Below are 18796 nucleotides of genomic sequence, written 5' to 3' on the forward strand. Positions count from 1 at the left end.
TGGAGCGGCTGCTGGGACTGCAGCGAAGAGGGGCCCGCGCCACCTCCGCCAGGCTCCACGCGCCGGCCTTGAGTGCGCTCCCCTCGGCCGCCGGGAAACCTAGAGGCGCGGTTTGGCCCCAAGGTCCCCGGTCCCGCTCTTCTTTGTCTCGGCCTAGTTCTCGGCTGTCTCCGGGCCGCGACCCACCTCTCCTGGCGGTCCTTGCCGCATGCTTCTGTGCTGCGCCAGAATCATCGAGTCTCAGTTCTCGCTGCCTTCCCGGCCAGTAGGCGTCTCCCCCAGCTGGGGAGGGTCCCCCAAACCCTGTGCTTCTAGGACCGCGGGGCCGGCAAGCGGCAGGATCTCCAAGCTGCGTCTCTGATGCGGCTAGGGGAGGCGCGCGATGAAGGCCCCCCTCTTCTCCGCCTTCTCTCTACGCCCCACCGCTACTACACGTCGCGCTGCGCCGCGACCCCGGCGCTGCCTGTTGGCGCCTTAAGCGGCTCTTCTGCCGCGGTGCGATCCCCGACGCCAGGAGGACTAACCCCCACCCGCCAGGCCTCAGACCCCACGCAGATCCAGCCACACACGCAACCGCCTGCAGATACCCACCACAGCCCTTTAAGTTAACCCAAAGCCCCGTACAGGCGCACTGCCCCTACATGCGCAGCCCCACGGCCCCACACACCCACCAGCCCACTCGCAAACAGGCCCACATGGCCACACAACTGCCCTCTGGACACTCAGCCCCACGCAGGCACAATCCCATATACACACAACCGCACACAGGCGCAATCCCACCCACGCAGTACCTCACGGAGTCACACAACCCCCCTATAAACAATCGCACAGACACAGCCCCACGCAGCGCCACATCATTCAGTCAAACTGAGACCCAGAAACACATTCACTAGCTTGTATCCAGACCCCCCCCCCCAAGCCCCGTGACATTCACTCGTAGGACAGACCAGAAATATACAGCCACATTGATACACACACGGACCTAAACGCACAGCCAAGACCTCACCCGCAGGCTCGTAAGTCACTGGAAAAATATTAAAGCGTTCCCTCCCTCCCCTCCTCTATCTTTGACATACACACGCCTGCGCGCGCGCGCACTCTTACACTCACACCCCCCGTCCCTAAGCGCGTCGGAGCCTCGCAGCGGGTGACCCCGAGGCCCCGCGGTGAGAGCCAAGGGAGCGTCTCCCCGGCGCCCCCTCCTCCCGCTCCCTTCCCGAGCTCATCTCTCGCCCCCCCGCCCGCCTCCTCCTTCCCTGCCCCCTCCTCCTCCTCCCTTCCCCCGAGTCTGGGGCGCGGGCTGCGCGCAGCCAAGCCCCCTCATCGCGCGCCCCTCCCCGCGCGCGCCCCGCGCCAGCATCGCGCTTACCGAGTGGATGCGGCCACGGGGCCGTCTCTAATTACCTCCTGACCCCCGGCGGCCTGTGAATAATGGCTACTGAGGGCGCTCGCAGGGGCTGCTAAGAAGGAAACGCGGGGCGCGAGAGGCGCGGCGCGCGCGGGAGCGCGAGGGAAAGGAGCGAGCCTGGGGCCGTTGCAAGCGGCTGGCGAGAGAAAGGATTCGTGCGAGCGCTCACATTTGTTTCTCCCAAGGATCTCATCTGGCCACCGCGTTCTGGAAGAGGCGAGAGGGAGAGCGTGCGCGAGAGGAGAGAGACGGCGGGGGAAAGGGAGACGGCGAGACGCGCAGCGCCGGCGCCCGGGAGACCCAGGAGGAGCCCGCAGGTATTGTTGGCGGCGGAGCTTTGTGTTTTCGGCGGGCTGCTGTGGGCGCCAGGGCTCCCCGAGCCCCCGGCCCGCCGCCGCGCGCAGACCTGCCCGGAGTCCGGGGCTGCAGGCTGGGGTCGCCGCCCGCCGCGGACACCCCTCCCGCGGCGCCAGGATCTTGGCTGGAGTTGCGGATTTGCATGTTTGGGGGTTTTCCACGCTGGTTGAGGGAATCGGTCTCAGAAGAAGGAATTTCTTTCTTTCCTTTTTTTTTTTTTTTTTTTGGCCGCTTTTGGCCACAGTTTGGTTGTGCTGGGGATTCCCCCCTCCCCTTTCCTCCACAAAGCATTGGTGAGCGGTCTTGACGAATGTGGTATTGGCGGAAGGCATGGGGCTGAGATGGCGGGGCTGGTGGCCACGGATGGGGAGGCGAGAGATGCCAGAGAAGGAAGGAGTTCTGTTCAAGTTCGCAATCTGCGCCCCGAAGCTGGTCGGACCGGGGAGGGCGATCCGCGCGTCCGATCCTGCTCCGGGCAACCGATGGGAAACTTCCCGAGAGCGCGGCCTCCCTGGGGACTCGGCGCCCCTGACGCCTCCAGGCGCTTCCTCGGGCCGCTGCGGCCCCTCCTCGCCGCCCGCCAGCGCTTAAGGTCGCGCTCTCCCCACCCCCGCCTTCCTCCCTTCCTCGGCGGCTTCCGGATCTGGACAGAGCTGCAGGAGTGGCTTCAAACACTTCCCCTGGAGACCCCTCCCCACTCCCCGCACGAGAGCCTGCCCAGTGGCCCCCCTGCCCTGCGCCCCAGTCTCACGCGCGGTCGAGTGGCCAGGCTGACAATGAAATCTCGCACCTCTGCCGGGGGGAGTGGGGTGGGGAGGAGGTCCCTCCTGGGGCTGCTGACCCTGGGCCTCGGGCAGGGGGAGGGGGCTCCTGGGGGAGGGGCTTGTTTTGGTTAGAGACGTCGACCTGGGATGGCGCCGGGGCAGGGAGGGGGCTGGGGGGTGGGCGCGGCGAAGGCGGCAGGCTTGGGTTCGCGGCCGGGGGTCGTGGATGGCAGCCCCTCTTGGGCTTGGTGATTGGCTGGTGACTTCAGGCACGTCGAGGGCCCCTCCAACCTCAGCCTCCTCCCCTCTGGTACAATGCGGGCTGAAAGAGGTGATCCCGAGGGTGCTGTGCTTGTGTGACGAAGTGTTTGTCTCCTGCGATCCTCAGCAGACGCTGCTCCGGTGACCCGGAGATCCGGACGCCTCGACCCCTCCCTCAGGGCCGGGAGGAGAGGAGGATGAAGGGGGAGGAGAGTGGTGGGAACTTCTCCTTTCCCATTGAGGCCATGGGAAGGGAATGCTAGCCCAGAAAATTTCTGGGGACCGCAGTTCTGAGGCGGGGACTCAATCCAAGGGGGGACCACCGGGTCAGAGGCTTCCCGGCACGCAGAAGCCCCCAGATTATTTTGCTCCATCGGGGGATGCAGAGGAAGGGGAGAGGTGGAAGAGCGAAGGGCTAGCTGGACTGGCGTTGCGGGGGTGGAGAGCCCGTGGAAATCAGCCTTAATTGGATTCCCAGGCAAGCAGCCAGGCTATCAAGGTGCCCCCTCCCCTTTTTCTTCCTGGGGTAGAGAGCCAGGTCCAGAGACACCAAGCTGGCAACCCAGGCAGGTGAAGGCAATTCCTCTCCCTACTTAAAAAGAGAATTCCTGGGGGAGAGGGGAGGCACCTTTTGAGAGGGAGGGGGGCGGCTAGACTGTGTTCAGGCTGTTCTGTCTCTTGGTCCAGGAATAGAAAGAGTTAACCCTCCCCCAGAAATTTGTCAGCCCCCACACAGCAGGGAAACATTGTTGGACCCTCTGACATGCTAACAGTGTGACACCGGCTGACTGGAGCTAGCAGATTCTAGACCCTGGACTCCCCCTTCAAAGCCCAACAGGACTCGGCTGGGTGGTGCCTTGTTCAGGGACCTTGTGGGAGGCGGAAATGAGAGCCCAGAGAGGGTCAGGCAGCAAAGCAGTGGCCTTGTGGCCCGGAGGGAAGAGGGGTTACAAGCCAGGGCCATCGGAAACTGGAAGGGAAGTCGCCATGGGTCTGGGGTAGAGGGAAGGGAGAGGCCCTTCTACCCTTTGCCCAGACTCCTGAGCAAGGCTTTGCCCTGCTCCCCACCCTTCCCACACACCCACTCAGCTGCAGGCCTGGCCATTAAATGTGGGTGTCTGACCCATAGGTTGGACCATGAGACCCTAGTGGCTGAGGGAGGCCTGGGTGAGGCTCTGGGAGGCAGGACTGAAACCAGCAAGGGATTCACTGCTGCTCATGCCCTATGGCACAACCCCCTTATTTATGGGGCTGCCTTCCCTTCCCCAGACCTCGAGTTTCCGTTTTCAAGAACCTTTTTCTTCCTATCTTCCTTAGGGCCCCCAGGGCCTAGCACACAGCAGTCACTCACAGTGTCCTGTATTTGTCCAGCTAAATGGAGTGAATGAATCAGTGGTGAATGAATGAAAAGGGAAAGTTTCTCAATTGGAAGCATCTAGCCCTTGTGGTTTTTTTTAAACCTTTTTGAAATATATATTGTAAAATAGCATTCACAGAAAAGCTGAAAAAAAAAGAGAAAAATAAGGTTATTGACAGTCTTAGAGGGCTCTGACAATGTTAGTATTTTGATGTAGTTCTTCCCAGTCCTTTTCGACTCGGTGGTTGGTTTGTTTTTTAAAGACTTTGTCGTCATTCTCTATATTCAGATGTATATCCTGCTTGCTTTGCCGGCATAATGTGAGCCTTTTCCTGTTTTGTAACCAATGCTTCATAAACACCATGGTTAATGTCTTCAGGCTTTTCCAATCAAGTGGATGTACCATAATTTACTTAATATTCCCCTTTTGTCCAACATTCTGGATGTTCCTGATGAATGATGTAGTGGATATATTTTGTATAGCTTTTCTTGATACTTAAAATGATTTGCTCAAAATGCCACTGCTGATGCCGAAGGCTCCGACTGCCTGCAGTGGGAGAAACGGCTTCTCTAGTTTTCCTTGGATAAATGGGACACTATTTTTCCTTCCCCACAATCTAGAACCTTCCATCAGAGCCGAAAAGAGCCTTGGCAATGAATCACCTATCTGACCTCCCTCCTTTGACAGAAGAGGAAGCCAGAGCCCAGAGAGGGGAAGCGAGTCCCAAGGTCACACAGCAGTTGCTGGGCTATGCAGCAGCGAAGACCCAGCTACTGATTTGCCATGTTGGTTTTCGCATCTGAAAAGATTCCTGAGGTCTTTAAGGCTGACCCTGCCCATTTCACAGATGGGGGGACTGAGACCCCAAGCTTACCCCTGGTGCCGCCAGCTGGAGCCCCAGACAGGCTTCTCGGCCCTCCTGGGCCACCCCCGACTGGGTGTGTTCACGGGATCTGGCGGCTACAGGCTCCCTGTTGCCCGCCCCACCTGCCCACCACAGTTCCCCTTCCTCTTTGCCATCCCATTCTCCAGACAAAAAGCTGAGGATCCAAAGCAGATGCAGTGAGGGGGTGGGACTGTAGGTCTCTGGGGACCCTAGTGGTTGCGTCCTTGCCCCATGCCTCAGTTTACTTGTCAGAGACCTAACCTTGGATCTGTTCAGGAGCAGAGGCAGATGTTGGCACAGATATGAGGTATGAAGGAGTGGTGTGGGGGATGGGGTGCACCTTAAAATCTCTCTCTGGCCCGAGATTCACCCCAGGAGACCCCCCGGGGAGAAGGGAAGGAGAGAGAGAGGGAAGAAAGAGTTGAAGCAGAGACAGTATTCCCCATCAGAGGACAGGGACTTTCTGCCCCCTCCCCTGCAGCACACCAACCATCCGTGTGCCTCTGATCCTGCTTGTGTATTGCTTAAGGGGTTTGTGTGCCTTCCAGCTTGGGCATGTGTTGTGCATGCGTGCCTCTGTGTGTGTGTGTGTCCGTCCCTGTGTGTGTCCCCTCTGTGGTGTCAGTCTCTGATCCCATTTGTGCATTTCTGGGGGGAAGGGAGGGTGCCCCCGAGCTCGGTCTTGTGTGTGCGCGTGCATGCATGTGTGCATGTCTGTGTGTGAGCACACTGTTTCCTCCTAATGGCCCCAGGAGGGATCCAGGCATCAGGCTTTTGTGCTGCTTCAAGGTTGTGGCTGGGTGGGCGAAGAGAGGGAAGGCCTTCGACAGGGAGGGGTGGGGTTGAGGGAGGCAAAAGAAAATCTTAAAAGACCGTCTTCCCTCTGGTCTCCAAGGAGATCAGGCTGTGAAATGATCCGCACGTTAATTAAAAACGATTATATCCTGATTGAGCCATTCCTGCTCACATCCCCCAGCCAGGGAGAGGAAGAGGCTGAGAGCAGAGGATGCAAAATGGGGTAGGGTCCAATGGCAGGGCATAGCCAGGTGGAGCCACAGCCCACGGAGGGGAGCACAGGCTGGGGGAGTCAAGTGGGAAGGTGTTGAGGGGCACGTGCCCAAGTCTGATTGGAGCTTCTCCTTTGAATTTTAGGGACTGTCTTCCAGTGGTGGTCTCTGAGATCCCAGGAGTGGGTGGCAGCCACCCAGCCCCATGGATCTCCACTCATATGCCAGGCACTGAGCTTGTTGTTTGCACAGATCCTGCAAGTCAGCGCTTGTGGTTCCAGTTTTACAGAGAAGTGACATGCTTGAGGTCATGCAGCCAGGAGTTGGGAGCCCCAGATTGGACCCAGTCCTCTGACCCCGAGGCCCAGATGCCCTTCATAGCTCCTAGCTGCCCCCAGATTCCCACCATGAGCCCCTACCTCTGCAGGACCCCTGGGAGGCTGGGGCCTACCATGACAAGAACTTCTCCATGGCGCCCCTGAGGTGGTTCCTTGCTGAGGTCCGAGCAGCACAGGGCTGGGCGGCTGTGATGTCCATTCACGTGGGGAGCTGGGTGACTCACTAGCCTGGAGCAGCCTTGGGCTGACTCAGGTCACCTTTGCCAACCTGGGCAAGGCCTGCCTCGCCCCACCTTGCTCCTCCCCAACACTGGCTCATGGTTCCACAGCAGACCAGCCACAGGTGCCCCGTGAGGCTCAAGACACTGTATCCACACTGCTGGGTACCTGTGCCATGTCTTTTCTGGAAGGAGTCTGGGCCTGGTCACGCTGGGCCTTGCCTGGTTATCTGTCTGCTGTAAGCCTTGTAAGGACTACGGTGGTAGAAAAGAGTAGTGGTAACAATAAACCAGACGACCCTCCACCTCCACCCCAGCATCAGGTGTTGCGGGGTTCACAAGCGTGGCAGATCTCAGCATTTGTGGGACCTGCCTGCTGCCATACCTCTGCCCACTCCCATCCACCCATGTGCCACCTCTGTGTTCCCTGAGCCCAGCTTCTCCGAGAGGAGGAGACCCACTGTGGCTTGGCCACACCCAGAAGCAAGTGAGATCGCTGGCCACGAGTGGGGGCTTTTTCTGCTTCTCTGAGCCTCAGTTTCCCCTTTGTATAATGGGGATGATAGCTTTTTCCGGAGAGGACTGACAAGAGAGTAAGGAAAACCAGGTCAAGTTTGTTCAAGTGCCTGGCAGCCCTGGAACGCACACAGAGGCCCATTTGTGCATTTGTGCAACTGTCCATCCGTTCAGGGCACTTGTGTGTTGCCACAGGCCTTGGGTTTGCTGGCTTCTGGGGAGGGACACACACTGTCACATTTCAGTGCTTTCTAGGAGACAGTCTGGGGCTCAGGTGACTGTCATCTCAGCATGAGCCTCTAGGGGGCAAAGATGCTCACTGGACCCACCTGAGGCTATGTTAGCAAAGGTAGAGTGGGAGAAGGGAGAGATGTTTCTGCTGGGGTAGGTCCTAGTGAGATTTGCTGAACCTGGTCCCACATCTTAGCAGGAGCCAGAAACAGTATCACGAGGCATCAGAGGGGCGGGCAGAACAGGAAGTCAGCATCCACCTGTTCCCCAAGGCAGAACTGGGAGAGAGGCAGGCAGATGTTCACTCATTCCACAAAAAGCCCTTTGCACTGAAGCAGGCAGAGAGACCCTGCCTGCGCTGGGTCATCCCTGCAAGATGCCACCTTTCAGGAGAACAGTTTTTGTGATGTTGGTATCTGCCTTCCTCCTAAATATCCCCTTCCTGCCCTTCCCAGGGCCTGAAATGCTTCCGTTAGTCACTGCCGAGGTCAGAGCATGGAAGGCCCTGATTAAAATGCAAACTGTTACTTGGAGGAGTGATCAGAAGATGAACTCATGTTTGCATAATGCAGAGGCCACCCACCCCTAGGCCCCGCAGGGCCGGGCAGGCAGTGCTGATGGGGTTGTGGTGGCTGCCTGGCCCTCATGGGGCGCGGTAGCTCAGCTCTGCCAGGGCAGCCCATGGGGATGCAGCCCATGGCGCCTGTTGCCCACTGTCTCAGGAACAGGATTAGATGTTGACATGACACTTCCTGGTCTGTATATGTTGTCACCTAATTCAGCAGCACCCCTACGACCAGATTTAGACCTGGGGCCACTAGTGCAGCCTCCTGGCTTCAATGCTGCTGCCCAGTGATCACTGTGACCATCCTGCAATACAAGTGGGGCAGGGACGGCAAAGCTGGGGCTCCCAGAGGGGAGCTCCCCTGCCCAAGTCTAGGCCAGTGAGGCCCTGCCAGGGCTGAGGTGTCATATGAGGTGCTGTCACCAGACTGGGGGACCGAGGCACAAGATGAGACTTTGTTGGCCCAGGAGGGTAGGCTGGAGGAGGCCTTTCCAAGTGTGGCACGGGGCGGAGAGGCAGAGAAGCTTTGCCGGTGTCACTCTTCTGTGGGTGTCCCAGCCACAGGGGCCTTACTTCGGGCCCACTCGCAGCCTGGGACCTTGGGCTAGAGTCCCTGAGTGGCCGAGAGAGAGCCCTTTCTAGGAAGCAGGGCAGGCGATGCCCAAGGAGGCAGGCTCTGCAGGAGCTGGGAACTGCCAGAGCATCAGGCATGGTGCCAGCCTGGTATGCTTCTCATACCCACCCAGCCCTTGGTAGCCCTCCTAGAGGTGAGGACGTGGGAGCAGAGGGGCCACACACATAGGGTGTCGGGACCAGCCTGAACCGGGTCAGCCTGACCCTGCACTTGGGGTGCCTGGCGGCCAGGCCTGTCCTGCACATCTGATTCATGCCTCGTTTACAGGCTGTGTTTCATTCCCTTCAGTCCTTCCACAGTGTCTGCTGATGGCGCCAAGGTTCTGGCCCAGATGCCCTGGCGAAGGCACCCAAAGGGACAGGGGCTGGGTCTCCAAGGGGAAGCATTTTGCTGCAGAAGGAAGGGTGTTGGCTGCAGGACACAGCATGCCAGAGGCCTGGGGGTGTGGGTGGCGAGCAGGTGGGATTGGGGAGGTGGAGGCAGGGACTGAGGCCAAAAAGGAGTCTGGGCCTTGACTGCTTGAAGGGTTTTATCTTGAAGGCAGTGGGAAAAGATGGGTGCTCTGGGCAGTGAGCACCGCTGGAGCAAAGTCTCGGCAGTGGGAACACACAGGGACAATGAGGAGAGGCTTAAGAGGATCAGAAGAGGACCCAGGTGGGGCCTCAGTTTCCTCCCTGAGAACTCCTGAGTCCTCTGGGGTGTGGGCTGGATGAGAGCAGCCTCCCTCCTCCTGGAGCTGCTGTGCAGGCCTAGAATGCTGGTCTAGAGGGAAGCAGGGACCTGACCATCTCCCCAACCTCTTGCCTAAGCCCAGAGCAGCTCGGCCTAGCCCTGCATCCCCTGTGAGCTGAGCACTGGGAGGGACTGTTCAGTCTCGGCTGAGAAGTAGGTGATGGTCCTGGGGGACTGATAATTAAAGCTCAGCAGATTATAATTCCCTGAAAGAAAGCTCAGCACAGAGAGGGAGGAACAGTGCCCAGAGCCTTGGCACAGGCTGGAGGAGGATTGCTGGGGGAGGTGGTGGTGGGGGGAATAAGAATGATACCTGGAACCATCGTGTTCAGAGCTTCCTCTCGGTGAGGCCTCCTAGGTGCCCAGCCCTGGGCACTTTGCTGTTTCCAGTCTTCAGACCCTCCTTGCCAATGAAAGGTTCCTGCCATCCCCATTTTACAGATGAAGAAACTGAGGCTTGGAAAGGTCTGGCAACTGTGGTTCAAGGCCCATGGCTGGTAAGAAGTGAGCCTGCGGCTAAACCCTGGGCTGTGTTGGGAGCGTTGGCCTCCTTACTGAGAAGAAGGCACTGCTTAACTCAGAGAGAGGCTGTCTGATGGCAGAGTCCTGGGCAGGCCACAGGCCTGAAGCAGGAACAGGTTGGAGCAGGGAAGACCCCTCAGGACATTCCCCATGTTTGTGGCCTTCTGTCTGGGAGAGGGGGATGGGATCAGGGGTCACACTGTGGTGACTGGATCTGCCATTCACTTAGTCACCTGTTGTGTGATGCCAGGCAGGTGACGTCCTTCCTTGGGCATCTCCTCTATAAAGGGCTTGTGTTCTCCTGGGGTTTGCAGGCTTCTTTAAGAATCTCTTCCTCCCTCATTAATCCTACAGGTCCCAACTGAGCCTGTTCTCATGCCAGGAGCTCCTGGCACACTCCTTTCATCACCTGCCGGAGCTGGGCTCTATTATCATCCCTATTTGACAGAAGAGCACACCAAGGCCCAGAGGCTACTGCTGCCTGGCGGTCAGCCTTCTCCTCACCAGTTAAACCTGCTTCGTGCAGTCCTGCTGCCCAGCTTGTTGCTCCTGCCTGTCTCCTTGGCCCTGCCTGGAAGACCCTCACTTTCCCATGCCCTGTGCAGAGCCTACCACCTCCTCTGCCATCTCTTCCACAGAGAGGCCAGGGCTTGAGCACATAGGCCAGAGGTTGTCCTCTGGCAATGCCCCCAGGTGGGCGCTGTTTGGCCAGCCCAGGCTTTTAAAAATAACATTGGATTTCACATAAAAATTCTACATTTTGCTTCCCTGAAAAAAAAAATCAGGTCGGCATTGCAGGGCCACACACCCACAGGGCACTATCGGCAGAGCTACCATGGGACTGCCACCTTCTGAGTCACCTGGTTCCCTGCAGTTCCCACTCATGTGCCAGCTGGGCCCTGGCACTCTGGAGCTTGCCACCCTGCTTAGACCTGGGTTCCTGCCCTGGCATCCTGGCTTTCCCTGATCCGAGGCAGATTCTATCTTTGAAGCTCATCTAGTAAATGTCAAAACTGAGAAACTGATTCCAAACTGGGTCTTAGTGTTTTCTGAGAATTCTCCAGGCCAGAAAGAAAAAGAAAGGGTGCACCAGATGCGGGGCACTGCGTGGGGAAAGATAAGGAGGTGTGAAAGGATGCAGAATGCTTGGGGAATAATACCATGTTCTCCTTGCCTGTTAAGTACTTGGTTGGCAATGCCTGAATACTAACACCAATCAGATTCTGCTTGTTCTATAAGATGATTCATTCATTCCAGGCATTCAGATGACCCTCACAGCATCCCTGATAGAGCACCATTGTGGGTGCTTTTATTCTCATTTTCAGCAGATGAGAACACTGGATCTCAGGGAAGTGACATGGCACGCCCCAGGTCCCAGTAAGGGCAGGACCCTGACAAGAATTCCGACTCCTGACTCCCAGTCCAGTGCTCGTTCTCTCTAAGACACTGGAAAAATTGGCTCTTAGGTGGGCTTCTTTCTCTGGCACATTTTTTAAATGCTCCTTTAGTTAATATGCAGGAGGGATTTCCATGTTCTCGTACATAACCTTTTGCTGAAGTGACAACGTGCGATAAAAGGGTCCCAGGAGAGCCAGTGTAATTTGGGCTGTGAGGGACAGAGAATACCAATGCAGAAGCCTCTGCAGAAGGCCTGGCTGCTCCTGGGGGCTGGGAGACCCGGGGCCCCCTCACCACCCAATGCAAAGGTCTGGCCATCTTGGGCCCTGGGACCACGTGTACGTTCTGATTCGTCTTCCACTGCTTGGTTTATTTTTCTCACGTTTTTGGGTGAGGATCTTGGTTCCTAGAGGAGGGAGGTCTAGGCAGAGAGAAAATGAGCATCCAGGACAGGGGGAGAGATTGAGGAGGATGCCTGAGGCAGACGTTGAAGCCTTGTTTCTAGTCAAGCACTGGCTAGTTGGGGGGTATCAGACAAAGGGGTCCACATAGAAGGCAAACTGAAGGGCATGTTCAAGTGCTGTTCACGCCTGCCTTTAGCCCCCAACGACCAAAAGGGGGCTTGGCATAGCGAGACCCTCTCTCTACAATTTTTTTTTTTTAATTTAGCCAGGCATGGTGGTGGGTGCCTGTGGTCCCAGCTACTCCAGAAGCTGAGGTGGGAGGAACACCTGAGCCCGGGAGGTCAAGGCTGCCATGAGCCAAGATTGTACCACTGCACTCCAGCCTGGGTGAAAGAGCGAGACCTTGTCTCAAAAAAATAAAAAGTTGGGGGGATGTTAAGGAGGTTCCAGTTAATTGTGGCTGATTCTAAATTGGGAGGCCTAACAAATGGTACTTATCCTCCCGTGGGAGCAGACCAGGGCTAACCAAGGCCGCTGGGAATGGGGGTCATGGAGACAGAGCCCCTTTTCCCTCCCACCCACCTGAAGGCTCCAAGAACTTCCACTGCAGAGGTGTCAGGGACGGACCTGGTGCAGACCAGTGGGCCCACACCTGCTTTCCTATGTGCGGGTCAGAGCGTGTAGGTGTATTACATGCCTGCCTGTGTGTCTGCGTGTGAGCTCCTTGGACACACACAGGGGCACATATCTGTGCTTGCATGTTTGTACATCTAAGTGTGTGCGTATCTGTGTGTTCTGACACCAGCTCGCGACACCAGCTCGCCCTCCACAAAGCTATTTCCAGGCCCCATTCCCCAAGAACAGCCATCTCTCTCTCCTTTCCCACCTGACATGGGGCAGGGAGGAGAGAATCTGTTTGAAATCTCAACAGGACATGGGCTTTGCACCTCCAGAGAGCAGGACTTGCTTGTGTGGACAGAGGTGACATAGAAAGGTTTCAGTTTCATCCAAATAGAAACTTACTTTTTTTTTTTTTCGAGACGGAGTCTTGCTCTGTTGCCTAAGCTGGAGTGCAATGGCATGATCTCAGCTCACTGCAACCTCTGCCTCCCGGGTTCAAGCAATTGTCCTGCCTCAGCCTCCCAAGTAGCTGGGATTACAGGCTCCCACCACCACGCCCAGCTAATATTTTGTATTTTTGGTAGAGATGGGGTTTCACCATGTTGGTCAGGCTGGTCTTGAACTCCTGTCCTCAGGTGATCCACCCGCCTCGGCCTCCCAAAGTCCTAGGATTACAGATGTGAGCCACAATGCCCAGCCTTTTTTTTTTTTTTTTTGAGACGGGGTTTCACTCTTGTTACCCAGGCTGGAGTGCAGTGGCGCGATCTTGGCTCACTGCAATCTCCGCCTCCCGGGTTCAAGTGATTCTCCTGCCTCAGCCACCCAAGTAGCTGGGACTACAGGCGTGCGCCACCACGCCCGGCTGATTTTTTTTGTATTTTTAGTAGAGTCGGGGTTTCACCATGTTGGTCAGGCTGGTCTCAAACTCCTGACCTCAAGTGATCCACCTGCCTCAGCCTCCCAAAGTGCTGGGAATACAGGCGTGAGCCACCGTGCCCAGCCCAAAGATGCACTTCCTCTCATTCAGAAGTGATTTAGAAGTGGCCTGGGCTGCTCCAGGAGGTAGTGAGTGCCCCATCTTAGGTGGGTAGGTGTGCAAGCAGATGCCCAACCTGTGCCTTCCTCTCTTTTGTGGTCCCTTCTAAGCGCAAAGTGCCTAGGGCTGTGTATCTCCTGGCGGCAGTTCTGAGGTGGCCCTATTTTGCCAACCCAGCCTGGTTGGAGGGACTGACAGGGCTTCTGCCCCTAGGTGTCCCCTGAACTTGGCCCACAAAAGGCCTGAGGAATATAGGGGACTGTGATTGTGTGTGTGGTGTGTGATGTGTGACAGTGGACTTGTTTGTGTATCTGTGTTATGTGTGTGCATCTGTGTATGGTGTGTGTACTTGTGCGGGTGGGGCTTCAAGGGTTGAGTGTGGATATCCATGTTGTGAGTGTGCATTGCGCATGGCCCTGGAGGATGGGGGGACATTTCTGGGCTGTGTGGGTATTGACTGTGAACTGTGAGTATGTGCACTTGGGCCAGTGGAGGTGTTTGTGGCTAGAACGTGTCTGGAGGGAACTGTGCTGAGACCCCCACCGCCTCTGTCCTGGTTCATTCCTTCCCACCCCAGGCTCCTCTCATGGCCCCTGCCCCCAGGTCAGACCTGGGAGGCTCTCAGTCATCCCAAACTCTGACCATTCATGCTCTCCCTCCCAGAGACCTTGGCACCTGCCAGCACTGCTCTTGACTTTGTCCTTGCTCTGGGATAAGAGCAGGCCCAGCAGATGGCCGAGAGGTCCCAAGGAACAGAGGAACAGGCGGGGAGGAGGCCCAGTCACTGCTTAGCTTCTCTGTAGGAGATGTAGAAGGAAGTGGGTCTTTGTGTTTCTGCAGCATCTGGACCAGATGGAGAGACCTTTCTGGAGATGGCATGCACACTTCCAGATAGGAGCTGGAACATTTCCAGAAATGGAATGTTTTTAGAAATGAGACATGGTGTTTCTGGAGACAGGATGAGGACGTTTCTAGAGAAGAGATGAAAAGCATTTCTGGAGGAGGGGCATTTCTGAAGATGAAATGAGAACATTTCTGGAGATGGGAGAGGGCATTTTTGAGGAGTAAAGATGAGGCTTTTCTGGATTCTGAGCATTGCTAGAGATGGAACATTTCTGGAAATGGATTCTTTCTAGAGAGAAACTAGAATACTTCTGGAAGTGGTGTGTTTTTGAAGATGATGCTGGAGTATTTCTGGAAATAAAATAGGGCACTTCTGAAGATGAGGTATTTTTGGAGCTGAAATGCAACATCTCTGGAGATGGGATATGGCATTTCTGGAAGTGGAACATTCTTGGAGTTAGGGTGGAGCCTCAGTAGACCACTGGCATTTCTGGAGATGGATTACATTTGAAGATGACGGGGAATATTTCTGGAGATAAGATGGAGCATTTCTGGAAATGGAACATTTTGGAGCTGGGGAATTTCTGGGTTAAAATGAAGCATTTCTGGGGAAGAAACAGGTCATTCTCAGAGAAGGGACATTTTTTGGATTGAGGATGGGACATTTCTAGGGAAGGAGTTTTCTGAAGATGAGGGGGTCATAGCTCAGCCTGGCTGTTTCAAGGCCACTTGAGGAGGCAATAGGGGAGGGTCTCAGGGGCCCAGAGACCCCACCTGTGGTCCTTGTTTTGCACATGGCCCGAGGGAGGGTCTTGCCCAGACTCACTCCTGCTGAGCTGCAGAGTGGGCTTCTGAGGAACCTTTCCAGAATGCAGCCTTTGCCACCCCCTGGCCCAAAACCCTGGCCTGTGCTGGAATACTACCAGAGGGAGGCCAGAGCTGCCCAGTCTTACTCTTGGGGTCCCTACCTGCTTCTGGTGGGGTCCTGGCAGCCTCTAGGCTCACCACAGGGATAGGCAGTGACTGAATGGTTAAATTTAATTTAATTCAATTTTGTCAAGCCAGCTGAGGCTTGCTCCCCAGCCCCCTCTGCCAGAAGCCTGTACCTTTCCTCCAGTCCCCCGCCCCATATCCCCCTACCATGGGGATACCTGAGGGTGGCCTTATTGCAGCAGACAGATGGAGGGGGGCTACAAGGCTGAACATGGGCAAGGGTCCAGGGCCCTTCTCGGGCTCAGCCTGATTTCAGGGCGGGGGGCCCCAGCCACCTCCGCCTACTCCAGAGAAGCAGATATTGAGGCCTGTCACCACTTGAGCAGGCCTGGAGCCCCAGAGTAATTATTTCTCTTCCTTAATTGAAATTTCAGCCTCAGTGATCCAGCCTCAGAAGTGTAAGGCAGGCACAGAGACCCTGCCCCTGGTGGGGGGAGGGGGCGCCCCCCACCCTGGCCCCAGAAGGAGGGAGGCAGTGCCATCCCAGGGGGGCAGGTGGCTTCACATGCTGGTGGGTGGGCATGAGGTGGACGGCTGCTGGTCAAGGAGGCAGGGTCAAGGGGGCCAGTATGGCATAGTATGGCCTGAGCACTCAGTATGGCCTGAGTATGGCTCAGGCCAGTATGGCAGCTGCCATGGGAAGGTTGGGCCTCTCCCTCTGACTCCTGACAGAGGAAGGTGAGGGGGTTGATCTAGGCTAAGGTAGCATGAGGGAGTGAGTACCAGGAGACTGCTGCCTCCTCCCACATCTGGCGGGCACTGAGGGGTGGGCTGGGGTGGGTGAGGGGCTATGGTGTGAGTGGGGCGGGCTGGCTGGCGGCAGGCCCAGTTCCTGGTTCAGGGCTGGGTGAGGCGGCTGGCCTGGCGGGGCGGGGTGGGGTGGGCAGGAGGGTGCAGCTGAGGAGCCTGTTTTCCCGGCTGCTGCGGTCAGGCTGGGAGGAGCCTCCGCCACCTGGGTGGTCCCTGCTGCCCTACACGGCCTTGGGCCTGGCCTGTCTGCGGGTGAAGGCGGGGGCAGAGGACTCCAGGGACCAGCAGGAAACTGGGAGAAGCCATGGGCTTGAAATGAGCCTGGGGTCCACCCCTCCGTGAGCTTCTCAAGGTGGCTCTGAGGTGCTGGGGTAAACGTAGCAACTGCCAGCTTGCAGCTGTGTGTGTCTGAGCTCAGGCAACCCAGGCACCACACAGGAAGCTGCTGTACTCACTGGACCCTGATGGGCTGCAGAGGGCCAGAGAGTCTACTTGTGGGCCCTTCTGGGTGTCAGTCTTCTCCATCTGGGGAATGGGTTGGCTTGGTGGGAGTTTTCAGGCCTGCATTACCTTCAAAGGGCTCATGCTGCAAGCATGGGCTGTCCTCCCTGTTTTTATAAGTACACGGGCCCCAGCCTTACCCAGACAGCCCAGCACGCTGCCCGTAGTATCCTGGGGAAGGGCAGCAGCTGTCATCAGTGTTATTTCTGAGGTGTGTTTTCCTGGCAACCAGGAAATTTCTGTCAGTGGGAACAGCCTGCCCAAGGCCTCCTCCACCCCTGGGGAAGACAAGTTGTATGACAAGGGAGACAGAGGCAATTCAAAGTGAAGAACGGGAGTGAGGCCGCCTCCTCCGTGCATATTGCTCACACACTGGGGCAGCCACGTGCCCAGTAAAGGCTCTCTTGAAAACCGTGGAGATAGGAGCCAAGCTCTGCAAGGCCCTGACTAGCTCACCTGACCCCTGGCATCTAGAAGCTCACAGCCTATTCTTGGTGGAGGTGTGGCTATGGCTGCCCTCCAAGGAGGGGAAGACAGAGATGGCTGGACAGGATGGGACAAGCCAGCCCCCAGGAGCTGGGGAAGCGAAGGTGGGTGCAAATGAAAACGCAGAATCCCATTTGCAGTCCATTTGCTTAGCAGCCCTGACCAGGAGGGAGAGAAAGAAGAGGGCAGAGCAGGGAGAGATGGGGAGGGATAAGGATACAGAGAGAGAATCTGGCAGCCAGGGGTCAGGGAGCCTTTGGCCGTAAGGCCTGGGATGCCTGCTGCTTACTGAGGCTGTGGCCCCTCCTGCCTTCCAGAGCTAAGAAAGCTTTGCTCTGTCTCAGCTCCAGACACCGCATCCCCACCACACATTCCAGCACCTGCCTGCTTCCCCTGACCTCTGGCTGCCCCACAGACCCCATCCCTACCTCCACTCCTTGGGGATTTTGAGGTCTTATGCCACCACTCCACTCTGAGCAGGCTCAGTCTCCCTGTGTTGGTGGTGGTGCGGGGTGGTGAGAGTGGTCCTGGAGCAGTGGGAACTACCCGGAGGCCACCTGGGGTGGGTCCCAGGCACCAGTCCAGCTGGCCAGTGGGCCACGGGGGCTGACCTTGTCACCTTGGGCCCAGATGGAGGGCAGCGGTGCTCGGCCCTTCCCCCAAGCACATACAGCCGCTGAGCTAACATGACTCACCGCGTGGCAGCTCCCTCTCCCCACTGGGAGTGGGGATGGAAGCCTCCAGATGCTGCAGCCCCACCCTGAGGGAATCACAGGCCAGGCTGAGCCCTTCCAAAGTGGGGATAGCTGGGGATCAGACATCAGCATCCATTGAAGGGGGTGTTCACCCGCATGGGGTAAGCCCTGTGCCTGGGACTCTGGGCTTAGTGCCCAGCTAGGGCCTTGGGAGACCCTTGGGCTTCTCTGTGCTCAGGGGGAAAGGAGCTGTGCAGCCTCTAGGGGTCCTGCCTGCCCCAAGCTGTGCTGGTGGTCCAGGCCCCCTTTGGGGAGGACCCTGGCCAGGGGTCCCTAGCTCCTCCTCTGTCATCCAGAGAACCCTTAGGTCCCAGGGGCTGGTGGTGTTCCTCTTCCTCAGAAACACTACCTGCAAGACTGGAACCCTAACACAGCCACCTCTGGAGAGTTGGGGGTCACCCATCTCTTCTTTGCTCCCCACCCACCCTGGTGGAAGTGGTTCATCTGCTCTGAGCCCTAAAGAGGACCAGGTGGGAAAGAGGCCTGATGCCGTGCTGGGGGCTTCGAATAGGTACAGGCACTTCTCTAAGGTTGCTGTGTAGGGCAAGAAAATCAGCTCAGAGAGTGAATGAATTTGCCCCAGGCCACGTGGCCATCAGGTGGCCTGGCTGGGGTTTGAACCTGTCTTCTCAGAGCAAAGCTGACTTGGCTGCACCTCCCTGGACTTCAGCTTTCAGGGAGGGAGGTCCAGGCAGCAGGAGCCTGGGGGACAATGCTATTTTTCATATTGATTTTTGTATTGACCTGCATCCTGTTGCCCACCCCGGCAAGCCCCAGGACAGATCCCGTTTTGGTTTTCGCCAGAACAAAGCAGGCTGTGCTAGACCTGCCAAAGCAGATACTTCCTCAGAGCAGGTGAAAGGAAACTCAATCTTGTCTTTTGTTACTCAAGGAGGGAGTGAGGGAATGGCTTTGCCCTTGAACAGGGAGGCCGTGGGCGGGTGGGAGGGGTGGGTGAGGCAGTGTGGGGAGAGGGCAGGGGCACACATACCTGAGCCGAGACACCACCCCCGCCCGCCGTCAGAGCATCCGGAGTGTGGTGACCATGTTAGTATTCAGCACAAGCGCGCGCGCACACACACACACACACACACTCGCGCACGCACACACGCACGCTCACACTCACACACTTAAGCGCACACGTACACGCACGCCTTTCTTTCCGTCTCTCCCCACCACCCTCCTGAGTCCCCTCTAAACCAGGAAGGTAGC

General features: G+C 57.2%; 1 protein-coding gene across 6 annotated transcripts in view, besides 7 other annotated features; it reads left to right on the forward strand.

Moving 5' to 3' along the window:
- Positions 1-18796, forward strand: part of RAI1 (retinoic acid induced 1) — a 129996-nt gene that overhangs the window by 40977 nt on the left and 70223 nt on the right. For 3 of the 6 annotated variants that reach the window (XM_047435151.1, XM_047435152.1, NM_030665.4), the window contains one exon: positions 1594-1725. The exons of 1 other annotated variant lie outside the window; for it this stretch is intronic. The gene's annotated coding sequence lies outside the window, so the exon portion shown is untranslated. Of the gene's footprint in view, positions 1-1096; positions 1726-18796 lie in introns of those variants that run through there. 2 more of the 6 variants (XM_017024027.2, XM_047435149.1) reach the window with 2 other exon arrangements.
- Positions 2578-3459: an enhancer, noted in NCBI's record as "H3K4me1 hESC enhancer chr17:17628326-17629207 (GRCh37/hg19 assembly coordinates)". NCBI's record gives its function as "activates a minimal SCP1, AML or CMV promoter by ChIP-STARR-seq in naive H9 embryonic stem cells {active_cell/tissue: H9 hESC(naive)}" and the evidence as "EXISTENCE:reporter gene assay evidence [ECO:0000049][PMID:30033119]".
- Positions 7221-7515: a silencer, noted in NCBI's record as "tiled region #1571; HepG2 Repressive non-DNase unmatched - State 25:Art". NCBI's record gives its function as "represses a minimal TATA promoter and a strong SV40 promoter by Sharpr-MPRA in HepG2 cells {active_cell/tissue: HepG2}" and the evidence as "EXISTENCE:reporter gene assay evidence [ECO:0000049][PMID:27701403]".
- Positions 7221-7517: a biological region, named in NCBI's record as "Sharpr-MPRA regulatory region 1571".
- Positions 7230-7428: a silencer, noted in NCBI's record as "fragment chr17:17632978-17633176 (GRCh37/hg19 assembly coordinates)". NCBI's record gives its function as "represses an EF-1alpha promoter that drives an FKBP-Casp9 reporter gene in an ReSE screen in K562 erythroleukemia cells {active_cell/tissue: K562}" and the evidence as "EXISTENCE:reporter gene assay evidence [ECO:0000049][PMID:32094911]".
- Positions 7458-7517: a silencer, noted in NCBI's record as "silent region_8251". NCBI's record gives its function as "represses an Ori minimal core promoter by ATAC-STARR-seq in GM12878 lymphoblastoid cells {active_cell/tissue: GM12878}" and the evidence as "EXISTENCE:reporter gene assay evidence [ECO:0000049][PMID:35858748]".
- Positions 12291-12530: an enhancer, noted in NCBI's record as "active region_11807". NCBI's record gives its function as "activates an Ori minimal core promoter by ATAC-STARR-seq in GM12878 lymphoblastoid cells {active_cell/tissue: GM12878}" and the evidence as "EXISTENCE:reporter gene assay evidence [ECO:0000049][PMID:35858748]".
- Positions 17533-18164: an enhancer, noted in NCBI's record as "H3K4me1 hESC enhancer chr17:17643281-17643912 (GRCh37/hg19 assembly coordinates)". NCBI's record gives its function as "activates a minimal SCP1, AML or CMV promoter by ChIP-STARR-seq in naive H9 embryonic stem cells {active_cell/tissue: H9 hESC(naive)}" and the evidence as "EXISTENCE:reporter gene assay evidence [ECO:0000049][PMID:30033119]".

Source organism: Homo sapiens, chromosome 17 (assembly GCF_000001405.40).
Source record: "Homo sapiens chromosome 17, GRCh38.p14 Primary Assembly".
Taxonomy (NCBI): Eukaryota; Metazoa; Chordata; class Mammalia; order Primates; family Hominidae; genus Homo; species Homo sapiens.